The sequence below is a fragment of the Homo sapiens genome, chromosome 3, assembly GCF_000001405.40.
Source record: "Homo sapiens chromosome 3, GRCh38.p14 Primary Assembly".
Lineage (NCBI taxonomy): Eukaryota > Metazoa > Chordata > Mammalia > Primates > Hominidae > Homo > Homo sapiens.
The window spans coordinates 188,590,258-188,608,949 of record NC_000003.12 but is presented as its reverse complement, the minus strand read 5'-3'; the positions used below and the strand labels follow the sequence as shown (position 1 = coordinate 188,608,949).

At 35.3% G+C, this 18,692-nt stretch overlaps 1 protein-coding gene and 1 long non-coding RNA gene across 60 annotated transcripts in view; one reads left to right on the top strand and one right to left on the bottom strand.

Annotated features, from left to right (window-relative positions):
• Positions 1–3,594, top strand: part of LOC124906316 (uncharacterized) — a 40,949-nt gene extending 37,355 nt beyond the window's left edge. The window contains exons 4-5 of the long non-coding RNA XR_007096213.1: positions 1,180–1,357; positions 3,327–3,594. This is a non-coding gene — a long non-coding RNA (uncharacterized LOC124906316). The remainder of the gene's footprint in view (positions 1–1,179; positions 1,358–3,326) is intronic.
• The window catches only part of LPP (LIM domain containing preferred translocation partner in lipoma), a 737,651-nt gene that overhangs the window by 281,722 nt on the left and 437,237 nt on the right, over positions 1–18,692 (bottom strand). The gene's annotated exons all lie outside the window — the stretch shown is intronic.

The window sequence follows — 18,692 nt, the reverse complement described above, 5'->3', positions numbered from 1 at the left end:
AAGGAAAGAAAGGAAAAAATTCTACTTACAGTAGCATAAAAAACTTGGAAAAAAGTTATCTAAGGAGGAGAAAGATTATATACTGAAAACTATTAAACATCGGTGAAAGAAATTATACAAGACACAAACAAACGGATAAACATCTGTGTTCATAGGTTGAAAGACTTGATATTGTTAGAATGTATATCCTACCCAAAGTTATCTATAGATGCAGTGAGATCCCTATCTAAATACCAAAATGAAGTTTTACATACATAGAAAAAACAATTCTAAAACTCACATGGAACCACAAAAGACCACAAAAAGCCTTATCAATCTTGAAGCCAAGAACAAAGCCGGAGGCATTACAATTCCTAATTTCAAAATATATTACAAAGCTACAGTAATCAAAACAGTATGGTACTGGCATGAAAAACAAGATATACAGACCAACAGAACAGAGAGCCCGGAAATATATCCACGTGTATACAGTCAATTGATTTTTGATGAGGGGGCAAAGAATAGATGATAGGTAAAGAAAATTTCTTCAATAGATGATGTTAGGGAAACTAGAAATACACATACAAAAGAATGATATTGGACCCTTATCTGACATCATTAACTAAAACTGGGTTAATGATTTAAAGATGAGAAAGGCCTGAAACTAAAACTTCTAAAAGAAGTAACATAGAGGAAAAGTTTTGTGACAATTGGTCATGAAGAATAGTGACATAAACAATGTAACATGTTATCTGAACTTAAACAAAAGGGGAAGTGGAGGGCCTGCTCCAAGAGAGAAGGCAGACACACAGGGGTGCACCTTGTCTGTTCTTATCTCCTGGCCACAGCTAATTCTGATTGAAAATGTAGAAATCTATTTGGTCTAATCTATTGTGCACAGCTTCTCTACCAGACTGGGGGACAGGGAGAGACACACTATTCATCATCCTAGGACACCACTCTCCCCCCATTAACCTCACAGAGCTTTACATGTTGAAGAGGCTTAGAAAATGACTAATGGAAAAATACCACATAAAAAAAGGATTGCTACAGACATTTAAGTCTCAAAAAATAACATATTTGCATATCTGTATTTATAGATGATTGTATAAATAGATTTATATACACATAACAAATCATAGATAAATAAGTAATCTGTATATGTAAATTTCTATACCTGCATTTTTATTTTCAAAATAGGTGAATTTTGAAGTATCTGTTTTTGGGGGCAGACTACAGCTACAGCAGAGTAATTTTTAAAATGTGCTCGATTTTCAAAATAAAAATGTTAAATCATAATAAAACTTCAAAAATTCCTGCAAAAACAAAAACGAAATGAAATGCCAAAAATAAATGCTTGGAAGCACCAAATAATCCAGTAAGTAGAAAAGATTCACTATGTATTTAATTGAATATGTGGGCCAGAAGAATGTTGGCATAGTTTTCTTTAACCATGAAGAACATAAATAAATATGCTTTAAAATTATTCCTATTCTCTACCCCTTCCAGCTCCCGTGATGTAAGGCACGTAAAACTGCAAAGGAAAAAAAAATTATATATATATATATATATATATATATATATATATATATATATATATCTTCTATTTTCAAACATACAGTTATAATATGTAAAATATTCAGAAACGTGCTCACACATACACAATGGAATTCATAATAAAGTTGAGAAAAATCTTCTCATCTCCAAAGAGAGCTCTAATAGTGAGGTATTTCCTAGAAGAAAGCAATGGCTCCTGAAATTGTGCCCTGTTGCTTTAATTCAAAGACTTCAGGATGTTTAAATAGTGTGTGTGTGTGTGTGTGTGTGTGTGTGTGTGTGTGTGTGTGTGTGTGTCTTCACCAAGAAAGAGACTGAAAGAAGAAACTTATAAAAAAAAAGTTACTTTTAAGGAGTTAGGTCTATATTCTTTTTTGTTAATGAATGTTATTGGTTTTCAATTTCAAACTATGCAAATTTTGAACTGCTTTCTTGGGGCAGACTTTACAGCTGCAGCAGAGAGCATGCCTGTCATCAGCCCAGTTGCTCAGTCACTGTCTCCATTTATAGTTGGGTTTGTAAAGTGTTCAAAATAGGAACTCTGGGTTTCTGCTGATCTTGAGTCATCAAAGAAAAGCAAAGCTTTATTCCCTCTTTCATTCAATGCCCATCTACGCTGACTTTTTTATGACTGGCATTATTGACGAGAAAAATCTGACCTTAAATTTTTTCTAGGTTCAAAATGCCTTTTCCACGTCCTCTGTAATAGAATGTTGGAGTCTTAACTGAGTATTTTTTAGGAATGTCTTGAACATACATATTTTAATAAATTGCTTAATGAGGAAACTATGTTTCTATTTAGTACTATTGGGACCACCTTCAAGCAGAAAGGTAAAGCCCCTCCACCAACAAGACAAGAATATCCAGGCTGCTTAAATTACAAAAGTAAATGACAAGTTTACCCTTTTAAAGACGAATATCCAAAAAAACAGAACAAAACAAAACACAAAAACCAACCAAACAAAAAGATACCACTCTATCCAAGAGCTTCTTGTAACTTAACAGGAAGCTAAATCTGGAACTATGAGATCCCTAGGAAACTATATTTGAGACAAATGATATGTGGAAAAGATAGCCATAAGAGTCAGGATTCAAATAAAAATGACAGCACACACCAACTAGGTCTTCTCAAGGATCTGATTTACACAGGTATTATGTACATGGCCCCATGTAATTGCAGAGGAGTCACGAAGGACAGGGAAATAATATGGAACTAGCAGAGGCAGAGCCGTCATCTCCTCTAGGTTCAGGACAAAGAGAGTACTGTGGAGGTGAAAATCTAGAGAAGGTCTGTGACCGTTCTTGACAGTCAGCTCGGAACTTCACAATCAGCAAGCCAGAGAAACATATGTGGCACAAGAGTTTATCAGTGTCTCTCAACAGAGTACTATGGTCTTCTTGAGTTTGACAGTAATGTATTTTGCTCCCTACCCGATAAATGATAACAGTGTCCTCCAGTCATTGTGACAGTTTATAAAAATGTGCCCATTCATTTCCAAACTCCCCATCAGGAGGTGGTTTCCTCTCTAGTTGAGAACCATTGGAAGTAAAATGTTAACCAAATGTCCCTGGGAATTTTTTAATCTTTATCTCTGGATCAACCTAGTTTACCAGAAAGCTATCTATCTGCATCAAATGGAATATTATCTTACGAAAAATAAAATGCTTCTTAAATCTTTCTGTGAAATTGTTACTAATGACAATACCCAATATATTGCTCAATAGCCGCTGAATAATGATTCCCTTTATTTGACACCAGATCTCTGCTTTTGTCTCTCGATTGTCTCCAGGACCATGGCCACAACTTGATATACCTTCTATGTTATGAAGACTTTAGAATTTCTGTCTCCAGAATTCATCTGTATTCTGAATACTAAGCCCAAATCCTCAACTGTCTATTTCATGTGTCTGCTTGAATGTCTCATATGCTTTTCAGACTCAATATATTAAAAACAGATTTCATCATCCACCCTGATCTGCTTTTCATTTGGTTTTCTCATCCACCCAGTTGTTGCTCAAAGGAGAACACTGGGAATCATTTCTGAGACTGCCTACTTTCCATTCAAGAACTAAATCCTGTTGCTCCTACTCTCTAAATAGGGAATTCCATAACTCACAAATATGTCCACATTTTACCATTTCCACTACTACAATCCCATGCCAAGATTCCACCATTTTTCATTATGAATTCTCTAAAAACATCCAAACTGGTCTCCCAATGTCCACGACTGTTTTTCAATGAGTCCTTCATTTGGTAGCCAGAGTGATTTATTGCAAATGCAAATCTAATCATATTGCTTTCCTGCTCAAAAATCTTCAACAGGTTAGGGGAATGATGGATGCAAATCCACCTCTTCTACCTCTCTTTGAGATACATTGACCTTCTTTCATGTCTATTGTGCCAAGCTCTCTCACATCTCAACAATGATACCTACACCAATGCACTTCTCCATTGTCTTTGAATTATCTAGCTGATTCCTAGGAATGTCTTACATCTCAAGCTGAATGTCAGGTTCCTCCGTGAAACTTTGCCTGAATCCTCCAGCACAGTGGGTGCTCTTTACTTCTCCCTCCCTGTACATATCACATGTGCATATGTCTGCTTCTATACTAGTAGAGACTGTCCTTTTTATTCCCTGCTGCTTCCTCATTATGCTTCATCATATCATAGCCCATAAGCTGGCATTTAACAAATATTTGATGAATGAATGAAGGTTAATATCCCAAGAAAAATGCATTTCTTTGGTCAGATTATAACTGACCATGAAAAAATATGAACTATCTTATTTTCCTTATTGACTTGACAATCAAGAAATTCTGTAAAATATGTAATGTGTGCCTAATTACAGTCATCTCATTAGTGCCCCTCCACCTCTAAATAGTTTAATGATTTTAATTTGGAATGTATTGATACTATTATTTTTCCAGGAAGACTTTGAGGTACTTGTTTTCATTTTTATGGCCATACTATATGTGTAAGTTTTACTTGATGCTGACTCAAATCCCCTCTGGAAATAAAGGGCAATTTTTAAATAAACTTACTAAGAAAGGAAAGAGACGAATGCATTTAAAAATAGTATTTAACAACATGTACTAAAACAAAGTACATTCTGAATTTACTGCCAAGTAAACACAATACCACAAATCCCAGAAATTCAATCCAAATTATTTATTCAATAGAAATTTATTGAAAGTCTACTATGTAACAGGCATTGAGCTGCTTACTAGATTCACTATGAGACAAAGAAAGTCACACTCATTGCACTCAGAAAGTTCTTAGTTACAGAATATTTGGGGCAAAATTTAGTGTGATGAGTAAAAGTGATTTCTACTTAGAAAATTTTCCAATGTAACAGAAGGAGAAAATAGACAGTAGCAAAAGGTCAACGTTTAAACAGCAGCACGAAATTCAAAATCATTTTATTACATTTTAATTTCAGCTACATGACATGGGAAACTGCTTAAGATTTAAATGTAAATTTTAAATGAAAAACACATGATGTGAATTCATTTGTACAATACAATTGAGGCCATAGAGAATGATATTTTCATATGGCCAAGGAATATACAAAATATCAAAAGGGGGATGGTTGACTTGCTAGAAGATTAAGATGATGAATATTTCCATTTCAATTATATTTTCATGACAATTATTTGAGTTATTTGAAGAATACCTCAAGTGCTTTTCACTTTCAGTTATCTACTTTGTCTGGACATCCCTGTGGCAGAAAACACAAGCTAAAATACCTATTGGTAACCCCAAAAATGTGTAATAATAGCAAACATTTATATAGAAATTACCTGGTGCAAACATTTTGTGTTGAACATAATTTATATATAATCCTCACAGTTACTCCTGAGACGGAAACCAATCCTCATTTTCCAGAAGAAGATATTGACGAGAGATTAAGTAACTGCCCAAGGACACATCACTAGTAGGTGGCAGATCGAAGGTTCAAGCCTGGGTCATCTGGCTGCATAGTTTGGGGTTTTAAAAACCATCCACCTCTCTCAGGTAATAAAACAGTGAAATATAATAGTTGACATGTTAAAAAAAAAAAAACCACAAAATTCTTTATCAGTCTATCCGTAGTTTTCCTATTTTTAAGAGATAAGTGATCAAAATGTAGACACTGGAAAATCTTTCTCTCTCCTAGAAGAAAAATTGAATAAATTGGAGAATGAACAGAAAATGAGAATGCCAGTGTCTAGGAAACAACAAAGTGATGTGAACTATAAAGCTGAAGAGTTTACTCTGTTAAAAAGGCAGCTGCTATCCCATGCCAGCTCACTGCTGACATGTGGAATATAAATCCAATATTACTCTTCTGACTTTAAAGCTGTGTTCATTATTATTATTATTATTATTATTATTATTATTATTATTATTTCAAACACAAGGAAGAGAAATAAAACAATTTCTGCAGGTCACCTGTAGTGCATGAGGTGCACTTTACAATTCCCAGTTGAAGTTATGGATACTGGCAAATGTAAGTATCACTAGGAAGCATGCAATTGAAGAGTTGTGCACTGGAACTTGGGAGACCGAGAAAAAAAGTGCCAGCTTTACCACTGTTTAGAATTTAGTGACATTGGGAAAGTCACGTGACTTCTCTAGACTGACTCTTCATCTGAACAACAAAGGAGGGGAAATGCTAAGTTACTCTTCTCCTTTTTTTTTTTTTAATAAATAATCTTTCTCTTCAAATAAAAAAATATTTCTATATCACTCAGGAGAAAAAAAAAGAGCTTCACTGGGGTCGAGGTACCTATAAAAGAAGATACTCTGACTCTCAAAAATCCAGTGATTCCAAGAGTAAATGTGCAATATTCAGAGTTTTATTGCCCAAGAAGAGCTTGGTCTCATTATTAGGGATTCATATCAGGTAGGCACTTAATAAATAATGGCTGGATAAATAAATATAATTGGTTTCTGAGTTTGTACAATGAGCAAAAATGGAAACACAGCTAACCTATTTCAGTTATAATGAAATCCCTAATTTGCTGCTTCTTTTGGCTCTATGCAAAAATTACATCATCATTTTATCCTAACCATGACTAGAAGAATAACTAAATTTGCTTTCTTGAGTCATCTCACTAATTATCTTCCATAATTCAGGGTAAGTACCCATATCTCCATTCCTCATCCAACCAGGCCACTTACACTATCCACTTGATAGATGACCCCATGAGTTGGAAAACAACCTAACAGATTAAGAATGTCATATATATATATAATATATATATATTATATATATATTATATATATATGAGATTAAGAATGCTATATATATGTGTGTGTGTGTATATGTATATGTGTGTGTATATATATATATATATATATTTGAGATAGAGTCTTGCTCTGTCACCCAGGCTGGAGTGCAGTGGCACTATCTCAGCTCACTGCAACCTCTGCCTCGCGTGTTCAAGGAATTCTTGTGTCAAAGCCTCTCAAATAGCTGGGATTATAGGCACCCACCACCACGCCAGCTCATTTTGTGTTTTTAGTAAAGATGGGGTTTTCACTGTGTTGTCCAGGCTGGTCTGGAACTCCTGACCTCAAGTGATCCATCTGCCTTGGCCTCCCAAAATGTTGGGATTACAGGCGTGAGCCACCACACCTGGCCAAGAGTGCGATATATAAACATAATACCACACATTTAGAAAAGCATTTCTTAAATCTGACTGCACAACAGAATCATTTAGGGCTTTTTAAATGCAAGTTATTGTAGATAAACCCACTCAACAGAGTGAAATCTGGAAATTCAAAAGGGAAGGGGCAGGTGATTGTCAGTTAAAACCAGAGTTCAAAACTACTTTTAGATACTGTTGCTAAAGCCGAACAGGAAATCCCACTTGGAATTAGGGGCTATGAGTGACATAATGGTGTGACTCCACTTGTCTTAGAAGGAAAACTGATTATATAATTTAGATTTAGGGACGAAGTTAATGTTTGTTTCTATAAAATTTTTATGGGAAATCAGTGGTGTAATTTGGTGATATGTAACAAAAGCCCTAATAAAGTTTATACTTTTTAAACCCATAGTTTCATTTCTTAAAATTTAGCCTATGGAAATGACCAGAGAGCATAAATGTTTAGTTTCAAGAAGCTCCGTGTTAATAGTGTACTTTATAAAACTAAAAGATAATGGAAAATTTAAATAATCAATACATGAGGATTGTTTATATACATTACAGTATAGTCATATAATAGAATACTACACAGTCATTAAAACAATGCCATAAAAATATTTCAAAATATATCAATAATCTGGCAATTCAACTTCTGGGTAGATACCTAAAATAACTAAAAGCAGGAATGCAGCTATTTGTACAATCATGGTAATATGTTCATAGCAGTATTATTCACAATAGCCAAAGGAAGAAGCAATTCAAGTGTCCACTGATGGATGAATGGATAAATAAAATGTGATATATATATATACACACACACATCTATATCTATCTATATATCTATACATATATATACACACACACAATGTAATAAGAAAATTCTGATACATGCTACAACATAGATGAAGCTTGAAGAGATTAAGCTTGAAGCTTGAAGAAACAAGCCAGTTACAAAAACAAAAAACAAAAAACAAATACCATATGGTTCTACATATAGGAGGCCCCTAGAAGAGTCAAATTTATAAAGCTAGAAAGCAGAATGGTGATTGCCATGGGATGGGAGAAGGAAGAATGTAGCTAGTGCATTATTGTTTAATGGATATGTCATTTCAGTTTGAATAGATACAGTTCTGCTGGTGATGGTTGCACAACAATGTAAATGTACTTAGTGCCAGTGAATTATACGCTTAAAATTGGTTAGAATGTGAAATTCTGTATTATGTATATTTTACCACTATATAATAAAAATAATAATATGTATCAAAATTTTTCTTTGTTTTAAAATTCAGTTAGAAAATATTGTTTTATACCTGTTGATAAGTAATGCATCTATCTATATCTCATATATACATATGCATACATATATGGCTAGAAGGATCTATTCCCAACTGATAACATTGGTTATTTTAAAGGGGTTATTTTTGGCTATTCTATATACTTTTCCTATTTTGCTAAGTGTCTACCACATATTACTTTTTCACTCAAAGGAAGAAATATATATTATATAGGCATAGTATATATTATACATTTCTTATATATAAATGTATAAAAATAAATATATATTTAACATAATATATATCAGAAATATATACATTATTTTAAAAACCAAGCAAACACACTCTAAAATATTGTGGTATTCCAATGTCCATGTGTATGTACATACAAAAAAAGGAAGAAGCATAGCAGAAAATTAAAAATGGTTTCAATGTATTTTAAAAGGTTACAGTTTTACACTAGGTGAGGCAGTTAAGAGAAAATTTTGTTCTCCATTTTATGTTTTTGTTTATTTTCCACATTAAAGAAAAAAAGTAACCTTATAAATGAGGATAAATAGTAGCTGAAATCTGGTGATGAGTTAAAATAATCTCAAATATTATGCACGAAATAAAAATCACACAATTTTAGTTGGTGCCACCGAGTTCAAAACATTGCTGCCAATATACTACTAATACTAATTTTTAGTCCTCAATGAACACATAAAGCACACACCACACACACACACACACACACACACACACACACACACACCCCTAACGAGTCCCCGATAGTTTTTGCCAGAGAGATGCACACATAAATATCTTACTTCTTTGAAATGTATCAGCACTTATTCATTTCACAGCCTTGTGCTCTGCTAGTGACGGGTTATTCTTAATAGCTTCAGAGCCAGAAATAGTTAAAACAGTATAGTCTGGTGTGGCACTTCAGAGCAGTTTTTGTCCCAGAAGCTTTTCCATTTAATCCTCACAACACTTATGATAGGGTATATGACACTGTGAAGAAAAACATCTCCCTGGACTTCTAGAGACCCCAATGTTGGTATGTCAAGGTAGTTTTCTCAAACATAAAATCAAGTCAATTAGGAGCACCCAGATGCTACCTTGAAAATCTTCATTTTCTAGTTCCTATTAAAAAGAGAAGCAACGATCCAGGTGAGGGCCTGCACTCACATCTTCATAAAGCTAGCATATCATCAGATTAAAACTAAGAAATCCAATATTTTAAGGAGTGTCCTCTCCCACCCCAGTGACTTTCAAATGAGATAGAATGCCATCGGTTTTGAACTTGAGAGGTCTCCAAGGCTCCTGTTTATGTAAATACCCAGCCATGTATAATTATTTCCTAGAATGAATATGGGTATTATAAATACCCATACAGTACACTCAGTTCTTAGCATGCATGTGTCCAGCACTGGATAAAATGCCATTGTGATGAAGGTGAAATCAATCTGAGTGTGTTCTATCATCTAGAAATGTAGTGAGAGAAGAGCCTATTTCCATAACAAGCGACCTCGTTTGCTGAAGCATCTCCTCAAGGGACCAGACACTTTTCTCCAATCAGGCCAGGGGTTTAGTGAAAAATACTGTGAGTTCAACCAATTAGGCAAGAAATAATAAAACTCAATCCCAGTGGGAATATTACAGGTGCGTTTTTATATGACTGGTAGCACTGAAAATTGAAATGATTCTTTTGGTGGACAAACTTGCAATGAAGAGCTATTAAAACGCACATAAGTGATTTTACTTGTTTATATTAAAGGAAAAATCAGAGGATGGTTGAGAAAATCCTAGAACATTGAGCTAATGGAATGGTATGCAGCTGGAAAGCCAGAAAACATTAATTCGAAATACCAGTTTAAAAGAAAAGTAAGATAATGGTTCATATGTATATTGACAAAAACTATATAAATCAGTTATGTTTCAAGGTTAACAGATATTTTAAAGATTTTAGCAATGTGATTATATGTTATAAACGTGATCACAATTTTTTTTCTCCTCTTGATGCAGTAAAGCTTGTTAATTCTCTCTACTAGTTACCGTCAATGTTTCTACTTCTATTAACTTATTGGTGCCCTAGTCCAGTCCACTATGATTAGTGACCTAGCTTACTGCAACAAACACATACACACGTATATGTGTATTTTTAAAGAAACTGACTGCTTATTGTCCTCTAGTACGTACTCTATTCTAAAATCAAATTTTAAGAACTCAAATATGATCATTGCCTTCCTGTATTAAAATCTCTCAAGAGTTCTCATTGCTCTTACCATGAAGTCCAAATTCTTTCCTGATAGAACTACTGTTTATCTTCTTAGCCTCCTCTCTTACTTTCCTCTACACAGGAGTCAACACTCCAGCTATCCTGTGGTTGCCCTGATTTGAACACTTTCCAACCTGCTTCCATCTCGCAACTTCTAACTGGTTATTCATCCTTCAGATTTCAAACGAAATGATGCCTCCTTTAGGAAGCCAATCTGGAACCTCCAAAATTAGACAAGGTGCCCACCATTAATGTCTCTTTAATAGTTTGCATTATCCTTATGATAACCCTTACGTCTTGTTTTGCAATTACTTATTTAGTGTTCCTTTCCTCTCTAAACTCCATGTGGGTAGAAATTTGGGCTTTCCATCCTTAGGGTCTAGCAAAGAGATTTTTCCATATGTTTTTATTCAATAAATTAGTTTTTTCAATAACATATTATTGAAATCAGTTTTTTCAATAATGTATTATTGGCAAATTCCATACAAGAGAGAAGTGTTTAATCAAATGAAACAATAAGGGAAATAGTTCGGTAACAGAATTGCCCACACTTCCCATCCCCCATCAGTTTTGTGCACCATTCATCTAAGAAGATTTAAGTATGATAGAGGGTTCTGTAGTTCAATCTAATTTTAAAAGTTCTGAGTTAGTTTATAAACATTGGGTTTCTTAGCTGTAGGTAGCAGGACATTTGGAGAGTGTGGTTCACTAGTTTTTGGTTATAATCAACTACTGTAATAGAACCAACCATTCCTATCTTTTACTGCTACTCGGAAGCCATAAAAAGACAAAAGATAATAAAATAGGTGGGATCCCATCTCTCAGGAAACTCTCAAGTCATTCAGGGGTTTCTTATCACTGAAATTTGTGTATCAGTGGCAGAAATTAAAATGTGACCACCTTGAGACAAGTGTCGAAAAAGAGCTATTTGGGGAATAATTTTTAACAGAGGATTCTTTGAGAAGAAATAACTAATTTATCTGTGCATAACTGAAACATACAGTATTCCTCACATAACTGTAGGGCGTAAGAAATGTGAATATCACACATCTCTACATTTTCCTCAAGGAAACAAGGCTCAGGAAAGATTTGCCCAAAGTGAGAAGGTCTTCAGAGGGTCAGGATTAGAACTCTGTTTTCCAGAGTCTGAAACCAGCGTTCCTAACCTCACACCAGAATGCTCAGACTTAATAATAAGCCTACAAAAAAGTAACAAACCCAGTTTTGTTCTTTAACAAAGTGGATCTCAGTGTATACACACCAGGCAGCAGGGCATGGAAATCACAAAGTAGGCTCAATAGGGACAAATTGGGTTGCTGTATTTTCATACAAGAGTTTCTAACATATTCACGGACTTCAGTAAAAGAAGCCACCAGTGTGAGCAAGTGGCTATATTTGCTTCAGTGGAAACAAACAGACCCTCGTTCACATATTTCTAAAAAAATTTGGGTGACCGAAAGCAAAGCGAAAAAGGAATAGGTGGTGTGTTACAGTTCTCAGAGAATTCCATGAGCAAAATTTTCTAAGACCTATCAAATATTTCAAATAAAATATTTGAAGGACATCATATTTAGAGCACATTAAGCTCCTAACAAAGTCACTAGATGTTTGCTCAGTTTTTTTTTTCCTCTTTGCAGAAAACACTCTCATTTTATAATGATCACTGTATTACGATGATTTGAATGTGTATCAGTTACACTGTAGATTGTATAGGAGAAAAAAATTCTTCTTCTAACGTATTTGTTCTTCAAAATGGAGTTGTCTGTCCACTGATTGTAGATGGATAAAAGGAATGGATCCCAGAAAGGTATAATTTCCAAGGAGAGAGCACTTTTGCCACAGAGTAGGAGGAAGGGTAGAAAATGTTTTCATGAAGAGTGACTATTAGGAACAAATAAGAGCTCTATTCACCAAACCTGTACACATCCCTTTATCCCTGTAAAACAAGCTATGAAAGCACATAATGACTAACTGCAGCAAAATTACTCACATTCTAACTTTGCATAATCACTAAAATGGCTCTGGTTTTTTAACCCTCCCCCTTCAACAATTCTGCACTCTTAAAAAAATTTTTTTCAACCACAGCACAAATGGTTACAGCAAACGGGTGTACCAGGCACATCTGCTGCTTCAAAAAGAATTCACTCCCCTGTGCCAAATCCATGTCTATCGGAAGAAATAAAAATAAATTGCGAGCAGGTTCAGCAAATGCCCAGATAAATCCTGTAGTGACCACATGGGTTAGATTCATTTCTGGTAGTCGGTTTGTCCTGAAAAGGGTGAGGCAAAGGAGGGGTGATTTGGAAGCAAGGGACTCTCTCTCTCACGCCTGTCTTTGTCACTCAAGAACTGAATACACAGTTAAGGTAGCTCCCTTCTCGATTTTCTGCACAACTATTTAAAAAATAGGATTGCGTTTATATAATCCCATAGGTGAAGGGCAGTGGGCAACATGTCTTGCAATATATGGACAGTGTCCTTTAAAAACAACAATAATAATGAGAACAACAACAGTCTTAGTTTGAATGGTCCCACAAATAATCTTTCCTATTTTTTCTATTTATATTTCTAACAGCTTTGCTGAAAGCGCCTACTTGATATTTTAGATCATTCAGTGCAGTAGATAACCTAGAATTTGGGGTACTAAAAAATTATGTTTTCTCTTTTCTACACACTATTAGCTGGAAATCTAAGGATGGCTTTTGAAAGAGAGCACCATTATTTTGACCATGGTACAAGGTGACCAAGCTCCATGGCAGAGCAAGGGGAGGGTGGCTAGCCCAAGATCAAGGTGTCAGCACAACTGCTGAAATCCTCATCAGCTGGGGGATACGAATGACTGATGGGGGTTCATTCATTTGGGTCTTATTCCTCCAGTGAAACTTCCTTTTAAAGGTAAAATGAGGAATTAGTTTATTATTCTTCTTTCCTTTTTAAAAGAGCAAACATCAACAAATTCAAAGATAAATATTCTTTGGGACACAATTTTAAATTAGGACAACAAGTACTGAAATTCCTGGGTTCAAACAAATTCACTTATATTGTTTCTTGGGTTTCAATTTCCTCTTTATAAAATTAGGGGATTTGATTGAAAGAATTCAAAGAATTTGGGTAGCTTAAGGTACCTAAGGGACGTTTTTGGGCTCAGATAAATTCTGATACCTAAGGTTCTTTGGAACAGCATATAAACAGAAAAACCTTCTCATTCAAACATTATTTTCATAATTTATCTTTATAAATATCAGGAACTGTAGAGGTAATAGGATACTTAATCCTGTTATGCTATAATGTTTCAGAAAAATAACAGGATATAAATTCATACATATATCATGATAAAAGTCCTATATGTGAATAAGAAAAACAAAACAAAAATTATGAGTGGTAATTATGAGTGGTGTCAATACAGATATTTTGCTCTTTTTTCTCCTTTCATTTTCTTTTATAAAATGAGCATGTATATTTATATTTACAACAAAGTAACTTTATTTACAGAAAAAAATAATCATATCTCCAAATATGTTTTCCTTTCAGAGAACACATTGGATTTTTCCCAAACCACCCAAAACCAAAGAAATATGATGTTTAGTTGGCTCAAAATTTAGACTTCAGATTTCTTTTTGAAAAATGCAATCATTCAGATAGTCATTGAGCATTTACTGATCACTTTCTAATTACCAGGAATGTTGCCAGCTACTGGGTAAAAAGTTACCATTTTTGGCCTCAGTGAATTCAAGTATAGACAGAGAAACAGGCAGAAAACCAGTAGAATTTTTTCAGAATTCCAGAAGTCTTACAAATCCTACTTGGAACACAGCGCTCCACTGCAACCCATTCATTTTTTAAACAGAGAGCTGAGTTCTAGCCAGCTAAAGAACACTGGCTTAAGAGCAGGGAACCAGGGTCCTTTTCATTCCACTCTGAACTGCTGAATTGCTTTAGGCACATTCTTGTCTGTGTGACTCAGTTCCTTCCCCTTCAAGATTCTGGGTAAAAATAATTCTTTATACTTTACATGGGCAGCTGAATTCAAACGTCTTCTCCTAGTCTGTTCTCCCTCTTGATATTCCATGTGTAAGTGCTATGGCCTAGGTAATTCTTACACATTCTTAAGTTTGAGTACCATTGTTCTAAGCTATATAACTCAGGAAGGGGGCCATGTTCTAATATTCCTATCTTCAGCCTTTCATAACACTTAGAACATGGGAGCACTAAGTCTATGCCATAGAAGAGTATCAAAACATCATAGAGCTCTACTTACCATTTGATCCAGCAATCCCACTACTGGGTATCTACCCAGAGGAAAAGAAGTCATTATTCGAAAATGATACTTGCACACGTGTGTTTATAGCAGCACAATTCACAGTAGCAAATCGTGGAACCAACCCAAATGCCCATCAATCAATGAGTGGATAAAGAAACTACGGTGTATACATATACAGTGGAATACTGCTCAGCCATAAAAATGAATGAATTAACAGCATTTGCAATGACCTGGATGAGATTAGAGACTATTATTCTAAGTGAAGTAACTCAGGAATGGGAAACCGAACATCGTATGTTCTCACTGATATGTGGGAGCTAAGCTATGAGGACGCAAAGGCATAAGAATGATACAATGGAGTTTGGGGACTTGAGGGAAAGAGTGGGAGGGGAGCATGGGAAAAAAGACAACAAATATGGTGCAGTGTATACTGCTCAGGTGATGGGTGCACCAGGATCTCACAAATGTCCGTTAAAGAACTTACTAATGTAACCAAATACCACCTATACCCCAATAACTTAGGGAAAAATAAAATTAAAAAAGAAAAAAATTATCAAAGAGCAATGAATGAATGAATATATTAAAGTATGAAATTATTCCTCATTTTCCTCTCTTTACTTAATTTTCTCTATTTAATCTGTGTGTGTGTGAGAGGGAGAGAGAAGAGAGAGAGAGAGCAAGAGTGAACACCTCTATGGGATCTACAACAATTGGAATTATAGAAATAAAGGAACATGATAAGCAGATCAGCTACATCATTATTAGGCAGGAAAAGGAGAGAAAATCACAAGGGAAGAAACACACACACACACACACACACACACACACCAGGCATCAGAGGTGTAATCTATACAGTTATTCATTCTATTCCTAGATTTCTTCATCCAATAACCTAGAAGCAAATAAATAAATGAATCAGAAAAACATACACTTTTCCATGGATACAATTCATGGAATGGTAGGATACAGAATTATTCAAGAAGAATTTTTATTATTGTAAGAGGAGAGTTCAACTTTGTATTCACTGTTTTCATGTTTTTAAATAATGTTTAAATAAAATAATATTATTCATTGTTTCTTAGACTTTTGAGAGAGCTAGGCAAGCCCTCGTGTAAGACAGTGTATTCATTAAAACAATGATACGCCGGGTACAGTGGCTGACACCTGTAATACCAGCGCTTTGGGAGGCCAAGGCAGGCAGATCACCTGGTTAGGAGTTCAAGATCAGCCTGGCCAACATAGTGAAACCCTGTCTCTACTAAAAATATAAAAATTAGCCAGGCGTGGTGGTGGGCACCTGTCATCCCAGCTACTCAGGAGGCTGAGGCAGAATTGCTTGAACCCGAGAGGTGGAGGTTGCAGTGAGCTAAGATAGCCCCACTGCACTCCAGCCTGGGAGAAAGAGTGAGACTCCATTTAAAAAACAAAAACAAAACTAAAAACAGTGATACTCATTGTAGAAAATATGAGAAGTAATAACAAGGTTAATAAAGAAATAAAAAACACTCGTTCAAAACTTTAGTGATAACAACTGTTTTGGTAACTTTATTTTCATGGTTTGTATTTCTATGTATACTTGTATCTGTGTGTAAGTGTGTGTGTGACTGTGTGTATGTGTGTGTGTGTGACTGTGTGCGTGTGTGTTTTGTATAGGTGATGGTGCTTAAATGTGAACCCTCTTTATGTGTGGCTTTGTATCTTATTTTTCATTTAACATTATATCAGAGATTATAAATTTTAAAATTCTTCAAAAATGTTGTTTATAGTGTGATAACCAAGCAGTCAATCTGCTTTAACAGATGCATATGCTCCAATGCACTAATTTCCTATTTATCATACATATTTAGTTGCAAAATCAAAACCAGAACAAAAAGCACTAAGATTTTTCCGCTGTCCTGTATTATGCTATTCTATCATCACAAAGTAGTTTGTTTCTGTTAAAAAGATTTGAGGAGGTGCAATAGTATATCAAAATGCCAGGCATGCACTTCTAACAAAATGTCAGCTCCCACCTCCACACTTCTCATGTGTATCAGATAATCTTCTTTCAATCAGTCATACAATATACATGCAATTCAGACCCATGCCAAGTACCTCACAGTTAAACCCTCTGATATTGAATTCAAAAAGCCTTGTTGTCTCAAGACAATTGATATTAGAGATTAAATATCAAAGACCAGTCATTTATTGTTGTTGTGAGTACCATTATTATTTGTATTATCACATTCCTTCTGTCTCTGTATCAGGTAGACTGTGAGGAACTCAATTGTAGAATGACAGGATCAGGGCTGTGTTGAAAAAAATATTAATCTGGCAGCCATATGCTTATGAAGGGCATAAAGGAAGCCAGCCTGGAAGCTACTGCAATAATCCAGGCAAGAAATGATGAGGCCCTAACTAGGAATAGAGAGTTTGAAGGAAAAAGGCTCCCAGAGCATTAACTACAGAACAAATACTGTCAGAAATGTTGTTCCAGCATATCTTTTACTAGCATCTTTTACTTTGTACAATAATATTTCCTAATATGAATATGTATGGAGCAAATGAGATCCACTGGCTGGTTTAATGGAAACATTATGCTCAAAGAGATCTGCATTAAGAAAGGTACTAGACTGGGGCTTCAGAACAAAGGCAGATAAATGCAATAACAGAAAAAGGCTATGTTAACACTGAAGGCCTACATTCTGCTAGTCAAATTAGTTGATGTTCTTCATATTTAATAGTCTGGATCCTTTAAGAGAAAGGGTGATTTATTTCGTTTGGGCAGTGGTCATGCATATGTCTTAAAGAAAATGCTAGACAATTTTGTGGGAAAGCACAACATAAGTGTCCAAGTGACCTAAATAATTTTTCCTCAGACCAAAATTCCAAGAAATAATCTTGCCTCCAATTCTGAAAGTAATCCTCTGGCTGTGGAGGCTCCTATGTGAACCCTCAGAGGGAAGGAGGAAATATAAAAGGACAGAAAATCAACAACAAAAATCCTCAAGCTCCACTGTATTTATTTCACACACTTCTTAGATTTGTCTAAATAGTTTAAGTAAAACTGGGAATTTAGGGTCAGAAAGGACCATCAATTTGCCTTTGTGAAATAAAGCACTAAACTGACTCAGTTTTCCAGTGGTGCTGAACCTCATAATTGAAGGCCTTAGAGATCACAGGCTAGTTAAATATAACTTAATTCCAGAGACCTAGCAACACTGGGTCTGCATTCCTACATGCAGCCTGGGTTAAATCTGGGAGGTTGGTGAGCCCTCCTGCTTGCCACAGTCTTCACCACTCTCTAGTATTCTCCAATCAGAGGTCAGTTGTAAGTTAACCATTTATCTTCTTGCTTGCACTGTGGTCTGTCCTATAATAAAGGGTGAAGTGAAATACTTCTTTTGCAATTATGTCTTTTTATTTTTTTAAACACAGCCTTGCTGTGTTGTCTAGGATGGATTGCAGTGACGCGATCTCAGCTCGCTGCAACCTCTGCTTGCCAGGTTCAAGCGATTCTCCTGCCTCAACCTCCTGAGTACCTGGGATTACAAACATGTGCCACTATGCCCGGCTAATTTTTGTATTTTTTAGTAGAGGCAGGGTTTCACCATGTTGGCCAGGCTGGTCGCAAACTCCTGACCTCAAGTGATCCACCCGCCTCGGCCTCCCAAAGTACTGGGATTACAGGCATGAGCCACAGCGCCTGGCCAAGAATACATCTTTTTTAAAAATGAAAGAGTAT